Here is a 17,390-nt window from a genome sequence, read left to right as displayed (position 1 = left end):
AAAAGAATGAATTTGTTTTAACTTGAACCATGGTGATCAAATGTAATAAATCACATAAACTAATTATCATAAAACAAAAAAGTATTGTATTTAGCAGGATATTGGCTTGCCTAAGGATTTTCTCATTGTTTTACTTATTACAGGTGATTCGTTGGAAAAATTCATTGTCTCTAGAGATTGTCAGCTTGGTCCACATCACCAGAAATCTAACTCCCTGAAACCTCTTTCTATGTCCCAGCTGAAGCAATGGAAACATTTTTCTGGAGATCATTTAAATCTTACAGATCCTTTTCTTGAAAGAATAACAGAAAATGTGTCATTCATTTTTCAGAATATAACCACTCAAGCTACTGGCACATAGTGAAAGATTACTTCTGACATTCCATTGCTCTTCTTTTGAAAATTAGTATGGTAATTAAATGTACTTTTTGAAAATTAATAGAATTATTTAAATTACAGTATATGTTGCAAAATATATCACTTTTGATACAATAGTCAAAATTGAGTGGTTTAATGTTTTGTAAATATTAAGTGTTTAAATGAAAAATAAAGATGTGCTTATATCATTGTATAATTGTTAATAATTCCTTGATTAATACACTTTCATTAAGTATCTACTGAGAAATTTTTATAAGGAATATAAAAAGGTAAAATACTCTCTGTCTTTGGGAAAACTAATCTGATTAGAAATATTAGACAGATGTTTGAAACAACTGAAAAACTTGGTAAGTTTAAAATGTAGCTCAAAGGAGAAAGAGAATGAGAGGTTAGGATCGCAAATGCTAAAGATGTTGGATGTAATAGTTGCTGCAGGGCAGTTTGAGTGAGAAAAGTCAATGGGTTAGTGCAGGAGTTGAAGGATTTGGGAACACTTGAGAGCACTAGTTCCTAGTTTGGGACCTCAGACTTATGCAGTCTATAAAGCCATGTCTACCAAATATTGTTTATGCACTGAACAAAGGTTCAGCTACCATCATTTAAGGGTTATCTGGAGTAATTTTTGGCATTGAAAAGAGTGTTTTAGCTGTGCGCAGTGGCTCCAGTTTGTAATCCTAGTTACCTAGTAGGTAGAGGCAGGAGGATTGCTTGAGGCCAATAGTTTGAGACTAACCTGAGCAACACAGTGAGACCCTGACTCTAAAAAACAAACTTAGCCAGATATGGTGGCACATGCCTGTAGTTCCAGCTACGTGGGAGGCTGAGGTAGAAGGATTGCTTGAGCCTAGGAGTTTGAGTTTGCAGTGAACTATGATTGGATATGATCCAATATCCATCCTGGGTGACAGAGCAAGACCCCATCTTAAAAAAAAAAAAAAAAGGTTTTAATATACAAAGCAACCTTTAGAAGACTGAAGCCTGCAAAGAGAAAGGAGTTACTAATTTAATTTCCAAATGGGGCTTCTGTAATCAGCTTTTGTTTCCATTTAGGAAAATTTCTTTTAGACAGAAAATACAGGCATACCCTGGAGATATTGCAGGTTTGGCTACAGACCACTGCAATAAAATGAATATCACAATAAAGTAAGTAACACATATTTTTGGTTTCCCAGTGCATATGAAAGTTATGTTTATACTATACTGTAGTCTATTAAGTATGCAATAGCATCATGTCTGAAAAATGATGTATTTTCCTTAATTTAAAAATAATTTGCTAGAAAATGCTAATGGTCATCTGAGACTTTAGTGAGTTGATGCCTTTTTTTTTTTTTTTTTTTTTGAGACGGAGTCTTGCTCTGTCACCCAGGCTGGAGTGCAGTGGCATGATCTTGGCTCACTGCAACCTCTCCCTCCTGGGTTCAAGCAATTCTTCTTGCCTCAGCCTCCCGAGTAGCTGGGATTACAGGCATCCGCCACTGTGCCCAGCTAATTTTTGTATTTTTAGTGGAGACAGGGTTTTGCCATGTTGGTTAGGCTGGTCTTGAACTCCTGAGTTCAGGTGATCCACCTGCCTTGGCCTCCCAAAGTGCTGGGATTACAGGCATGAGCCACCATGCCCGGCCTGTTATCTTTTTGCTGGTAGAGGGTCTTATACTGATGTCAATGACTGCTGACTGATCAGGAACCTGGTGAAGGTTGCTGAGGGTTGGGGTGGCTGTGACAATTTCTGAAAACAAGACAGCAACGTTTGCCACATCAATTGACTCTTCCTTTCACAAAAGCTTTCTCTGTAGCGTGCGATGCTATTTGATAGTATTTTTCCCACAGTAAAAACTCTTTCAAAATTGGAGCCAGTCCTCTTGAAACCTGTCACTGGTTTATCAACTAAGTTTATGGAATAGTCTAAATCATTTGTGGTAATTTCAACAATGTTCACAGCACCTTCACCAGGAGTAGATTCCATCTGAAGAAACTACTTTCTTTGCTCCCCCATAAGAAGTAACTCCTCATCTGCTCAAGTTTGGTCATGAGATTGCAGCAATTCAGTCAAATCTTCAGGCTCCACTTCTAATTCTAGTTCTCTTGCTGATTCCACCACATTTACAGTTACTTCCTCCACTGAAATCTTGAACTCCTCAAAGTCAATTATGAGGATTGGAATTAACTTCTTCCAAACTCCTGTTAATGTTGTTATATTGACATCCTCCCATGAATTGCAAATGGTGGATCTTTTCCAGAAGGTCTTCCATTGATTTTGCTCAGATCCATCAGAGGAATCACTGTCTATATGGTCATAGCTAGCTTTACACAATGCAATCCTTATATAATATGACTTGAAAGTCGAAATTACTGCTTAACCCATGTACTGCAAAATGGATGTTGTGTTAACAGGCATGAAAACAACATTGATCTCCTTGTACATCTCCATCAGAGCCATTGGATTACTAGGTGCTTTGTCAATAAACAGTAATATTTTAAAAGAAATCTTTCATTCTGAGCAGTAGGTTGCAACTGTGAGCTTAAAATATTCAGTAACCCAGGCTTTGTTGTTTCATTTCTAGAGCACAGGCAAGTAGATTTAGCATAATTCTTAAGAGCCCTGGGATTTTTGGAAGGTGGTTTCAACTTAAAGCTACCAGCTGCATTAGTCCCAAACAGAGCCAGCCTGTCCTTTAAAGCTTTGATGTCAGACATTGACTTATCTTCTCTAGCTATGAAAGTCCTAGCTGGCATCGTCTTTCAATAGCAGGCTGTTTCTTCTACATTGAAAATCTGTTGTTTAGTGTAGCCACCTTCATCAATGATCTTAGCTAGATCTTCTGGATAACTTGCTGCAGCTTATCCATCAGCACTTGCTGTTCACCTTACACTTATATGATGTGGAGACAGCTTCTTTCCTTAAATATTATGCTAGCTTCAAACTCTTCTGCAGCCTCCTCACCTCTCTCAGCCTTCATGGAACTGAAGAGATTTAGGGCCTTGCTCTGGATTAGGCTTTGGGAATATTGTGCCTGGTTTGAACTTCTTTCCAGGCCATTAACACTTTCTCCATATCAGCAATAAAGCTGCTTCACTTACCATTTGTGTGTTCCCTTGTAATTTCCTTTAAGAGCTTTTTCTTTGCATTCAGAACTTGGCTAACTAATGCAAGAGTCCTAGCTTCCAGCCTGTCTTGGCTTTCAACATGCCTTCCTCACTAAGCTTAATTCTGTCTAGCTTTTGACTTAAGGTGAAAAATATATGACTTTTCCTTTCACTTGAACACTTAGTGGCCATTGCAGGATTATTAATTAGCCGAATTTCAGTATCGTTATGTCTCAGGGAATAGGGAGGCCCAAGGAGAGGGAGAGAGATGGGGTAACCAACAGTTGGTGGAGCAGTCAGAACACACACAACATTTATTGATTAAGATTGCTATCTTACATGGGCATAAGTTATGGTACATCAAAACAGTTACAATAGTAACATCAAAGATCACTGATTACAGATAACCCTAACATATAATAATGTAAAAGTTTGAAATATTGCAAGAATTACTAAAATGTGACACAGACATGAAGTGAGCATGTTTTGGGGAAAAGTGTCACTCATTTGCTTGATGCAGGGTTGTCAGAAACCTTCAATTTAAAAAAATCACAATATCTGGGAAGCACAACAAAATGGGGTATACCTGTATTGTCTTGAGGTGTTAAATACTCAGTTATGTATAATCAAGGATGAATTCTTTTAATTTGTTAGTGCCATACCTGGGTAGCTAGCTGTACATCTAGGATTCATGAACAGGCAGTTTGGGACCAAATTCGTCAGTGAGGAAGTAGCCAACTAGTAATAAGTAAAAATGGTATTTCTTGGCCCCATGTATATAGACTTCATGCATGAGGCTTTATATACAACTTTTTTTTTTTTTTAAGAGATAGGGTCTCACTATGTTGCTGGACTGAACTAAACTTTCAATATCTATCTTGCATCGTATCCTTTTCAGGCATAAAGTACTTAAAAAACATTGATAAAGGGCAGGTAATTCTGCCTGTCTTTTTAAACAAAAATTTATGTATGTATGTATGTATGTATGTATGTATGTATGTATGTATTTATTTTATTCACATAGTTCCAGCCACTCTGCAACTGCTGCCTGTCTTAACTGTGGTGTATGCAAGGGTGTGCTGCCCAGATTGCCCCTTTCAGAACCAAGGCGCTTGTTTCTCCAGCTGCCAGAAGCATCACCTGTGGGCCACTTATAGCCAAATTCTTCCCCAAGAATAGCCCTCAGCTGAGAGGATCTGCCTCACCCAAGATTATGCTCCTCCCCTGGTTGGCCAACATTTGAGACTGGTGGATGCTGGGTAGAAAGGCCCAGCACCCTTATCTCAATTCAAGACAAATCTGTCAAAAGGAACATTTCAGCTCCTTAGGTAAGGGTGCTGGGCCCTGTTTTTATAGTGGATACCTATTGTTCTTCATAAAGTTGTTTGTTTGCCAAGTAGTGTGGGAAGTAACCTTCCATCCATTTCTCTGCCTCACTCTGAAATCTTCCAGTATCCTGCATGAGAGTGATTTTGCAGTAGAAATTTCAGAAGAGGCTGAATTTCATGGGAGAACCCATGTGACATGGAATAAAGGTAGCATATGTGGCATGGGATCTCAGAGGCTGAGAAGTACAGAAGATAGCCCTCTGGGAATTGATGAAGACTTTGGACTTTGACAAGCCAGGCATTTGTGGGGGTATAGACTCATTTTATCCACATGTTAAGGGACCTTAACACCTGGTTTGCACGTATAAAGCAGCTTTTGCGTGAGAGGTGCTGTTTATAAGAATTTTCCCTTTCTCTATGTTCCCAGTCCATATGCTCATGTGGTCGCATGCTCTCCCTCTCTCTCTTGGTGGACTCCTTTGAGGATGGGGATTTAATCTTACTTACCCTAATATTCTCAGGACCTTGTATGGGACCTGGCATAGAATAGCTATTTAGTAATTGAATGAATGAATGAGGTACTTTACCTCTTTTACTTCTTTAACCACCTTGATCATGTTTCTTGCTCATAGATCTCAGTTTCAAGGTATTTATTTACGCCAACTGCTGAGCATGGAGCTGTGCTCAACACTGAAGAAAGCAGAGGCAGCAGTTTCTTCTTGCCTCTGACAGCATCCAGACTTCCCTTTTTGTTATTGCGATCTGTCAATCTGCTGCATGAGCTGACAGAAGCTGTCACTGCAATGGGTAATAATTTAAGTCACATACATAATTCATTTCTAATTACACAAATACACCTTTCACACAGCTTTATGTCATAATGTTCTGGTTCTAAACGACAATGCAAATACATTTCAGTCACGTTTTCATTAGGATTGAATTACTAAAGCTGAATTTAAACATGAGCAGCTCTGATCTGCAGAACTAAACTCCTAGACAGCCTATCCATCCATTTAAAAGGGTGTATGACAAAGGAGCAAGTGAAAAAAATCTGGCTGGCATTTCATTTGAGTGGCTCAATTATGGCCTACAGTCACATTGCCTGAGCAACTGTGTCCTAATATTATGTGGCAAGATTAAAATTTTGACTGTGACTCACAGCAAACAATATGTATAATTAGCTTATGGCTTTGTTTTTCTGAATTGTTCCCAAATTAATATATTGTATCCTAGAGGGATTTGTAGATATGCTATTTTGGTATTCAAGGAAGGCTTCAACATGACTTGATAGAAAGGGATATTATTTTGTCTTACCTTGTATGATAAAAACATGTTTTTGGTTTAGACCAGTTTCCTGTGGCACTTTTCTATAGCTAACCTGTGATCTTTGCTTCAAACCATTACAAATTTCTATCCCTAAGATACTGTGTTCACAAAACCAATACCAATTCAGAATACAGCTTTTATGATGTAAAAACTGTAAAAAAAAAAAAAGTACCTTATTGACAGACAATAGTTTATTGGAATTTGTTACACTTACTTGAAAACCTGAAGTGTTCAGTGTGATTTAATCTTTACAATTTTTTTAGATTTATTAAAAATTATTTTTTGTGAGTAAGAAGATAATAAAATTCCAAAGTAGACCAAAATTAACAATTCCTTTATTTTTATTTTTTGAGGAAATGTCAACAAAATACTGAAGACTTTTTTTGAGTAGTTAAAAAAAATATAACATCATAAATGTCTACAGCATAAATTCTGGCCGGGCACGGTGGCTCACACCTGTAATCCCAGCACTTTGGGAGCCGAGGTGGGCAGATCACAAGGTCAAGAGATCGAGACCATCCTGGCCAACATGGTGAAACCCCATCTCTACTAAAAATACAAAAATTAGCTGGACGTGGTGGCACGTGCCTGTAGTCCCAGCTACTTGGGAGGCTGAGGCAGGAGAATCGCTTGAACCCGGGAGGCAGAGGTTGCAGTGAGCCGAGATTGTGCCACTGCACTCCAGCCTGGGCTACAGAGCAAGACTCTGTTTAAAAAAAAAAAAAAAAATCCTTTGTACCTGCAATGTATTTATTTTCACGTATTCCTTTTTTTTTTTGAAGTAGAGATGGGATCGTGCTGTGTTGCCTAGGTTGGTCTCAAACTCCTGCCTCTGCCTCCCAAAATATTGGTATTACAGGTGTGAGCCACTGTACCCATTCCCTGTTTTATTATTAAAAATTTCATCTCTGGAGGTATGCATAGTTTATATAGTAATTATAGATCAAGTTAGAATTTGAAATTGGGAGTTAAAATCCTTCCTGAGTATTTATTTCTGGATGTGTCTGCGAGAGTGTTTCTAGAAGAGACTAGCCTTTACCTATAGAAGAGATTTGCTTTATCAACATTGGTTTGTATCATCCAATCTTTTGAGGACCTGAATAGAGCGAAAAGGCAGGGAGGGTAAATTTACTTTCTGTTTGAGCTGGAACATCCATCTTCTCCTACCCTCTGACATCGGAGCTCCTAGTTCTCAGGCCTTTGAACTCAGACTGGGACTTACACTATCACCCGTGTCTTTGTCCATTTGAGGTGCTATAGCAAAATACCATAAACTGGATAGCTCATAAACAACAGAAATTTGTTTCTTACAGTTCTGGAGCGGGGGTAGTCCACGAACAAGGCACCAGCAGAGCCAGTGTCTGGTGAGGGCCTGCTCTCTGTTTCATAGATAGCACTGTGTAGCTGTTACCTCACATGGTGGAAGGGACAAGGAGTCTCTCTTGGGCCTCTTTTATAAAGGCATTAATTCCATTCATGAGGACTCTGCCCTCATGACCTGATCACCTCCCCAAGACCCCACCTCCTAATATCACATTGGTAATATGGTTTCAACATGAATTTGGGAAGGACACAAACATTCAGACTATAGCAACCCCTTATCCCCTTCTCAGGCCTTCAGACTCAGACTGGGACAGCAGATTTTGGGACTTCTTGCCTTCTATAATTATGCGAGTCTATTCCCATAATAACTCTCTATATATCTATTTATCTCTGGACAATTCTGACCAATACAGATGTATACCATTGTTTAGCATCTGAATGGAACAAAATTACAACTGCTACATTTGTTTAAAGAAAATCTATAGGAATGTCAATCTAATGCTTCTGTCTCTTACATAAATATAATGATGCTAAGTAAAAGTTTAGTATTTATAAACCTCTGTTTATTATGTATGCAGTATAGCCATTATGGACTAATATAAATAAATGAGATAAGATAGGATCAATGATTTTCTGAAGCAGACCAAAATGAACACGTGAAAATCAGGTGCTTGAAACATGTGATAATCTACATTTATTTAGCTCTTTACAGATAAGTGGTTTGCTCCTCACAACAATGCTGAGAGTTGAACAGAGCAAATACTCTATTATCTCCGTTTTATAGATTTAAGGCTTACAGAGATTAAATAATTATTCAAGATCATTCAGTGACAGAGCTGAAACTTGAACACCAGCCCCTCTTTTAACTCAAAATCTGAAGCTCTTTCCAGTGCACTGTCCTGCCTTTTCTATGATTTCACCATGCCAGGTTCCTGAGACAGATGTATATGTGAGAAGAAAAATGAACTAATGTGAGTGTTTCATATCATGTTCTCTTTTCAAGTGAATTAATTAAAGAATTGGGTTTTGGATTAGGGTGTGTGAATTTCATGAGATCTGAATCTTATGTTTATCCTTTCACAGAACAATAGACATGGTATTTTACAATTGAAGCAGTTGATTTGATTGACCACCCTTTCTGCTCAGATTGCTCAAACTGACAACTCACAAGACAAAAACACAAGGTCACAAGACACTGTGGGCTGCATCCAGCTTTAGGTTTACTTATCTTTAAGAAAGCATACACAGCAGGCAACGAGAAAGCATGGATTGCAAAAGCAGAGTGGAACTCTTATGAGTCCAGGCTAGGCTTCCAAATGTCTCAGTCTCTCTGTACCGAGGATACATGTGGTCATGTGAGACAAGACTGAGTGTGTGTAGAAAACCACCATTAGTGGGAGCCATCAGCTCTGGGATTCCTTCAGCTTTCATACTTTGTTAAGGTGGGAAACAAAAAGTACATATGGAGGTCAAAATATCCCTTTCATTTTTGGTAATAGCTTACTTGATTGGCTTGGCTTTACATCTGTTACCCAAGTGGGTTGTTAATACTGAGCTCTGTCCTACCCATGAGGAAATGTTTCCCAGGTAAGCTTCAGGGTTCGGAGGCACAGAAGAAGCTTGTGTTTTTTGTTTTCTTATTGTTGCTATTTTTGAGATAGGATCTTGCTGTGTTGCCCCGGCTGGAGTTCAGTGGCACTATCGTAGCTCACTGCAGCCTCGAACTTCTAGGCTCAAGCTATCTTCCCACCTTAGTCTCCCTAGTAGCTGGGACAATAGGCATGTGCCACAATGCTTGACTAATTTTATTTTATTTTTTGTAGAGACAGGGTCTCGCTATCTTTCCAGGGCTGGTCTTGAACTCCTAGCCTCAAGCAGTCCAGCCACCTTGGTGTCCCAGAATGCTGGGATTACAGCCAAAAATCACTGCACCCTGCCTTGAGAGCTTGTGTTTTCTACACGCAAACTCATTTCCAGGAGGAAGAAGGTGGAGATATTTCCATTTTTTTTTTTTGCAGTTTTTTTAAATTGAGGTAAAATTCACATATTATAAATCATAATTAAAAATAATTTATTGAGGTGAAGTTTATATGGCATAAAATTGATTATTTTAAAGTGTACAATTCAGTAGAATTTAGTACATTCACAGTGTTGTTTAGCCATCACCACTGTCTTATTCCAGAACATTTTCATCACCCCCAAAAGAAACCCCATACCTGTAAGCATTTACTCCTAGTTCTAGGATGAACTGTGACCATTGTGGTCCCTTTCATCTTCTGCTCTAAAACAGCAGCAAGGGAAGGAGGGTAACTGAACTTTTGAGGTTCTTTAGAGGTTGTTCCTCAGGGCCATGAAAGTAGGGTTGGGATGGGGAGTGACAGTGCACTGAGCAAGGTTCTAGTGGGTCCTTTATCCCACCTGCTGGTTGTCAACAAAGGGTTCCAGTGACTTCTACTGCAGGCCTATTTTAACTTTCCATTTGTATTAGGGTTCTTCAGAGAAACAGAAACAATATGAGATCTCTCTCTATATATCTATATCTCTCTATATCTATCTCTATACATCTATCTGTCTGTCTGTCTATCTATATATATATACTTAGAAATTTATTTGTTTTAAGAAATTGGCTAAAGGGATTGTAGGGGCTGGCAAGTCGAAAATCTGTAGGGTAAGCCAGCAGGCTGGAAACTCAGGCAGAATTTCCATGTTGCAGTTTTGAGGAATTCCTTCTTCTTTTGGAAACCTCAGTCTTTGCTTTTATTGCTTTCAGCTGATTGAATGAGGCCCACTCACATTATAGAGGGTAATCTGCTTTACTTAAAGAAAACTTAGTGTAAATGTTAACCACATCCACAAATACCTGTACAGCAACCTCTAGACTAGTGTTTGACCAAACAACTGGGCACCATAGTCTAGCTAGGTTGACATAAAATTAACCATCACATCATTTACTCTTATTTATTTTATTTTAAATTAATAGCAGCTGTGTAGCACTCATTGCCTGCCAGGGACTTTTCTAAGTGCTTTATGAATATTCATTTAATATATTTATGCTTATTAACAAGGATCCATTATATGTACATGAATACAAATCTTAGTGTATAAATATAAGTTCATGACTTGTTAGTATGGTTTGCCAAATGCTTGTTTTTTCCTCTTATTTATATACCTTTTGTTCATGCTTAATCTCAGTCACTAAACCTTTTTATTTGGACTTATTTCTCTGGGTATCCTCTAATCACTTTTTCCTGGGCTGTGCCTTTTCCCCCAGCATTCTTGGACTCCCTGCTGCTATTTTGTGGCTGTAATTGTCAGAAAACCTGTAATACAGGGGCTTAAGTAAGGCAGAAGTTTATTTCTCAGGTGAAAGTCTGGGTCGGCAGTCTGGGCTGGTGTAATTTCAGTCGCTGGGGACCCCAGCTCCTAGCTTGTTGTGGCTCCCCAGTCCCTATTATGCAGCTTCCACCTTGTGGTATACACTGGATCCAGTAATCATATTTGCATTTCAGCCAACAGGAAAGAGAAGGAGAAGACTTCCTCTTAAGGGCTTATTCTCAAAATTGCATACCACATTTTCATTTACATCCCATTGATCAAATTAACCACACGTCAAGGTGGAGATATTCTTGATAAATTTACCAGTCAGAGAGGTCACTATCTCCCAAGGGGAAGGGTGAAACAGGTTGCAAAGGGAGGCCAGGAGTTAAATAAACTGAGCTCCCTTCACCAGAAAGGTGAAGAAGCGCTTCCCTCTGACAATGGCCAGTCAGTACAATTTTAATGACACCAATGGTAAAGCCATTCACTAGATACTGGGTATAGTGGGGAGCTTTGAAAAAGTAGTTTATAAGAGAGCTTTGCAAAGAAGGTTGGTGTACATATAGGCTATGGTTTTTGTTTTTGTTTTTGGCATTGTCGAATTTGTTATCAAGTTTTGGACGGAGTGATTATTTATATGATTATTTAATCTGTCATAATGAGAGCAGCAGTAGTGCTGATAGCCTGTGGCTTGTATCAACGCTTTAGAAATGTTAACAAGTAATGACTATTTTCTGTTAGCAATAACTGTAGCAATCGTGTGTCACCTTAACCTTTATCCTCTGAATCCTATTCATATTTTTAATTTCAATCACTAGTAAATCATATACTGCTAGCTTTATTATCTGAAACCAGCTGCTCTAATATTTCTTCCTTTATTTATTCAGACCTCTGCCATAGGAGGGAATCATCAAGGAGAAGCCTTGTGTTTTCATCATGAGGCCTCATTAAACACGATAAGGTTGGAATGTAGCCAGATTTTTCCCCATGGTTGGCCTTGGAAATCAGTTTCTAACTCAGGGGGCATCAAACGAGGTGGCTCTAAGGCGGCTGTGAGTGATGTTTTTTTTTTTCCTTCCTGGCCTTTATGTTCTTTTCTACTCAGTGGCTAAACTAACTTAAGCCAGCTCACGCGTTACACCAGAGTCCAGAGGCAGTTAGGAGGGGCCACAGCTCTGCAAAGTCAAGGGCATGCCAGCTGGAATAAGGGACTTGGTTTATCATACAGAGCAGCCACTATCCTGCTCAGTCTACTGATTAATGAGAAGTTCCTGGGGCAGAGATTAGGGAAATTAGGAGTGGGCAAGTGTAAGAAAGCAAGAGGAAGGTGAATGGTGTGGGGCCAAAGCCCCTGTTCAGACCCCAGTTCATGGGCTAATTTATGAAACCAGGTTATGGGCCTCTCTGAACTTCTGGCTCAATCCTGAGGTGCCTGGGTGTGTCTGTGGAAGGCCCTCTGGCAATGCCTAGGGTGATAGAAACATGGTACCTAATACTAGTTATCTACTTCTGATCATTTGGTAATTTTGCTCTTAATTACCAAAGGAAAAAATTATTTATTACGTTTTTCCCTCAATCTTTCGCTCAGAGTCTAAGTTAAAAATTTCACAGTGGCCTCCAGGCCTAACATGATCTGGCCCCATTATCTTTCTGACTTCATCTCCCCTCACTAACTACACTTCATTCCCACTCCCCCCCTTGCTGTACCTTAAATGCTGAGTGTGCTTCTGCCTCAGTTTTTCCCATGGTGTCCTAGAGCCTGACCCATGGTGAGTATCTGCTCAGCAAATTGTCGAGGACTTGAAGAATGGTCAGCGGTGTCCAACCTTTCTATGGAAACAAAGGGAAATGTGGGACAGGAAAAGACCACTGGATGAGTACAAACACTTTCTCTGTAGTGGAGGCACTAAAAAGTGGCTTTGAGATCAGTTAGATATATTGTCATATTGTCTTTGGCAATAAAATTCTTAGAAGGGGTTACACCCTTAAAAGATGGGAAAGAGCTACATGATTCAGAGGGTTGACCAAATGCCAAAGAGCATTGCTGTCCATTTGTTTCCCACACGCTGTGAACCACCATTGATTGTGCAGAACTAGAGCCTTAAAAAACATAACGGGCAATAAAGAAGGCTCTGGTGCCTGTGTATTGAGATGGGATTGAGATCAATAAATTTTTCTATCACTTGCTAACAATCCATACCCTTTATAAAACTTTCTAGTCCCTTTAATAAAGCTAATTTGGGAAGCAAACACTGTAAATTCCCCCTCTAATCTTGGTACTCAGTAACCTCCAGTATTTAGTTTCCATGCAGTAAGTTAACCTCCAAAGGGTGGAAAAGTTTTTGGAAATCCTTGTTTAGAAAGAATTGCAGACATAGGAATAATTAGTATATAATTTAACATTTGATGAGACAGCAAGTCCAGAATGATTCCTCATTCAAGTTGAAAGGGAGATAAAAATCTAATTATAGGACAATATTTTAAAGGTACCTATGCAAGACTTACCATTGAGACACAGTCGCTTCACTTATTTTCTCTGTAGCAAAGTAGACCTTTGGCACTTCTGGTCTTCCCCAGCTCCTGATCCACAAAACTTCAGCCACAAGGCTAGACGGGAATTCACACTGCCCTGTCTTATGCTGCAGGGCAGCTTTCTCAGTAAGACATCAAAGGAACCTGGCTTTAGTTACTGCTTTGAACTAGACTAGAAATTGTTTCCACTAACTGTGCTGGAGAGCGCCCCTCATGCCTATGCTCCACCATGAACATATTGAATAGCCTTGCTAGACAGAAACACATAATGGAAAGCTGCTTTATTTATCTGAAGCTCTGCAAAAGAAAGAAATTTCAGAGCTTAAAGAGGAATCTCATGTACTTGCTTCTTATGAGAAATATTACCATAAAAATACCACTTCTGTCATCCAAGGGGGAGAAAGCTGTTTTCAGATGTAGGAGGGACGTCCAGTGGAACCTAATGGTTTGTCTAATTCTGGGCTTAAAAAGGACTTCATATTTGAAAAGTGATGTTTTCAGCAATCTTGGCCTATCCCAAAAGAACCAGAGTCTTCATCTTAATTAGATAAATAGAAAGCATCATTGCAATACGATGTTCAAAGCCCTTGGCTTGGAATCAGCAGATTTGGAGGTTCTAGTCAGAACTCTCCCATTGATTTGGCTTCTGATTGTATGGAAGTCTTAATTTTTACACTTTAATAATAATAATGAGTCATTCATTGATGGCTTACTATGTGCCAGACATTTTGCTAAATGCTTTATATGCATTATTTCATTTATTCCTCTTGTCAATCCTAAGACATGGGTATTATTATTATCCTCATTTTACAGGGAGGATACTGATGCCTAGAAAGGTTAAATGCTTCCCAAGAGCACAATGCTAAGAAGCTGGATCTGATCCCAGGTTGATGTGGCTATAGAACTTGTTTGTATGCACCAGCCTTAAATTCGCCAGCTAAATGAAAATTTAAGGAATATCTTATAGCAGTCATCAGTGTGATGAACTGTGGGCTTCTACCTTTTATGCCAGGATCACTTGTTCTCATATTAAGATATATTTACCAGGAACCTGATTTAAAAAATGCAAGGATTTAGGAGCTTATGAAAAAAAAAAGGAATAAAAGATAAGCAGAAAGATTAGGCCTGTTTGTTAAATAAATTTTAAAAAGGTTATATATGGTAGATTTTAAAGAAGTGATTGTTACTGAGGATACCCATGAAAAAGATTTGTTTTTTTATCTAATTATTTATCCTGATTAAAGAATGTGGTGGTCAAGAAATATCAGTAGGTAAGTTGGAAACAAAAAGCAAAGGGGAAAATACCATTTTGTGAGAATGGCCTGCTGGTGGCAGCAACAGATCACAACAATTGTCTCCCATCACATCAGGAATTCCAGGCATGTCTTTAAGCACACAGCTTCCTGTTTTATGAGATTTCAAATCACAGGCTGCTGTTATGATGGCTATAAAAACTGGCAAATCATTCTAGCTATCAATATGACTGACAGGATTATTTTCCACAGCATTTTATATTGTCAGAGCTTTACACTTATTGTCTCCCCATGGGTCGTGTTGGTAGGGGGGTGGGTATTAAATTATTAATTAAATGAAAAATGAGCAAACTTTAAAGTTTGATGGAAATAGTCTTGAAATCAGTGACACCTTAGTTATTAACTTCTGATTTTGTTGTAAGATGAATATAGGTTTAATAAACAGACTTTTGCACAGAATTATTTGTTTTTTCACTGTGATTTTTTTTGTGAGACCTCCAGTAACAATTTTTCAGTTCTCCATAAACATTATTAAAGGATTTTTTTGACTTAAATAGCTTTGAAAACACAAAACATTAATGTTTATTCCATAAGTAGCAGACAATGAAAACATATGTTTTAGTTACTGTATTTATGCCTGAGGAAATACCCATAAAGAGAAATTCTCAACTGCTGCAGTGCCTGAGCCTTTGATGAAGGCCAGCCTCTGGTCACCAGGTGGAGCTGTTGACTCCTAGCAGTGCCTTCGGGGCCCAGGTGTAGAAGGGTCATGTGGTCGGACAGTGATGCTTTGACCTGGATGTTGCTTTCTGTCTGGGTAGCTTAGTACTGGAGGCTTCCATACATCTCAGCCTGGTTTCTGCTCCTAGGGTGGGAAGAGTTTGTGCTGCTGAGGAAGATGAATTAGAAGATCCACTCTTTTCGTTAGTACTGTGAGCAGACTACATCTGGGTTCCTGTAATGGAAGGAACAAATACTGAGGCTTCCAGAATGCTAAGTACCTTTTAGGTAAAAGGGGATCTGCTTGAAAGTTGGACCTGGGTGGAGCCCTTTATTGTGAGAAATATGATCGACCTTCCTGGACATGTTGAGACTTCAGTCATTCCTATATCTTGAGATGTTGACGGCACCAAGTGGGTGCTCGATATAGGTGAATTAAATGGATAAACGAGTGAATTAAACAAATAACAAAATGCAAGGTAACTCCTTTCATTTCCTCAGTAAGGGGCTCTATGTCTCATCTCATTCATTTATTAATTCATTTGCCATACAGTGTTTGAGAACTTACGATGTTCTAGGTTTTTTAAAAAACGCCGAAATTCAGAGATGCTTATTTTCATTTCTGCAGGTTCTGCCATCTATAATTTTGGTGTGAGGAATGAGTTAGGAATCTAAATTTTAGAAAACGGTTGCCCAATTGTAATAACACTTAAATAATCCATTCTTTCCCTATTGATTTTTCTGTTCTTGAACAGTATTTTAATTAATATGGATTTCAAGATTTATTATTATTTAGGAGATCAAATTCCTCTGTAGTATCCTTCTTTTTCAGTATTTTGTTGGTTACTCTATATCAGTTATTTTTCTGGATTAATCTTAGAATTATTTTGTCAATTAATTTTGAGAAAAAAATGAGATAATTTAGAGTATTCATCCAGGAATATGGAATGTCTCCCTAGATATTTATGTCTTCTTTTATGTTTCTAGGAAATGTTGTGTTGTTTTCATGTAGAAGAAAACATTCCTAAACATCACTGGCTTCCTTAATTAGTTTACATCTAGGTGCTCAGTCATCACCTCCTCAGAGTAGCCTTCCTAACCATTAACTGTACTATTTGTGTTTTTGTGGGTTTTTTGGTTTGTTTTGTTCTTTTTCTTTAAGAAACAAGGTCTCACTTTGTTGCCCAGGTTGGTCTCCAACTTTTGGTCTCAAGCAATCCTCCCACCTTGGCGTCCCAAAGTGCTGATATTACAGGCATGAGCCAGTGTGCTGGGCTGAATCCATGCTGTTTGAATGGCATACTGCCCACCCCTGCATAAATATTTTCCTCCATTTTTTTTTTTTTTTCAAGGCAAGGTCTTACTCTTGTTGCCCAGGCTGGAGTGCAGTGGCGTGATCATAGCTCACTGCAGTCTCAAACTCCTGGGCTCAAATGATCCTCCCAGAGTGCTGGGATTACAGGCATGAGCCACCACACCTGTAATTTTTTATTGTGTTAAAATGTACACATAACACACCTCCAGTTTTTTGTGTTAAAATACATATAACATTTACAATCTTAACCATTTTAAGTGTACAGTTCTGTGGTATTAAATACGTTCATAATGTTGTGTAACCATCACCACCATCCATTTCCGTAATTCCTAAAAAAATTTTTTTAAATTTATTTTATTTTTCAAGACAGGGCCTTGGTTTGTCACCCAGGCTGGAGTGCAATGGCATGATCTTGGCTCACTGAAGCCACAACCTCCTGGGCTCAAGTGATCCTTCCATCTCAGCCTCCCGAGTAGCTGGGATTACAGGCATGCAGCACTATGCCCAGCTAATTTTTGTGTTTTTTGTGGAGACATGGTTTTGCCCTGTTGCCCAGGCTGGTCTACTGGGCTGAAGCAATCTGCCTGCCTCGACCTTCCAAAGTGCTGGGATTATAGGCGTGAGCCACCATACCCAGGCTAAAATTTATTTTAAAATTTTAAAACTTTTAAAAGAGATAGAGTTTCATGTTGCTTAGGCTGGAGTGTAGTGGCTGTTTGCAGGCGCAGTCATACTGCACTATATCCTCGAACTCCTGACCTCAAGCGATCCTCCCGCCTCAGCCTCCCGAGTTGTTGAGACTACAGGCACACG

At 38.9% G+C, this 17,390-nt stretch overlaps 1 protein-coding gene across 2 annotated transcripts in view; it reads left to right on the top strand.

Moving 5' to 3' along the window:
• RAD54B (RAD54 homolog B) overlaps window positions 1-571 on the top strand; it is a 103,156-nt gene extending 102,585 nt beyond the window's left edge. For both annotated transcript variants that reach the window (NM_012415.3, NM_001205263.2), the window contains one exon: window positions 144-571. In NM_012415.3, the coding sequence (NP_036547.1) occupies window positions 144-361 (218 nt within the window). In that variant the 3' untranslated portion in view covers window positions 362-571. The remainder of the gene's footprint in view (window positions 1-143) is intronic.

The sequence above is a fragment of the Homo sapiens genome, chromosome 8, assembly GCF_000001405.40.
Source record: "Homo sapiens chromosome 8, GRCh38.p14 Primary Assembly".
In the NCBI taxonomy this organism is placed as follows: domain Eukaryota; kingdom Metazoa; phylum Chordata; class Mammalia; order Primates; family Hominidae; genus Homo; species Homo sapiens.
The sequence above is the reverse complement of the archived record's forward strand: the minus strand, read 5'-3'. Positions and strand labels throughout refer to the sequence as shown.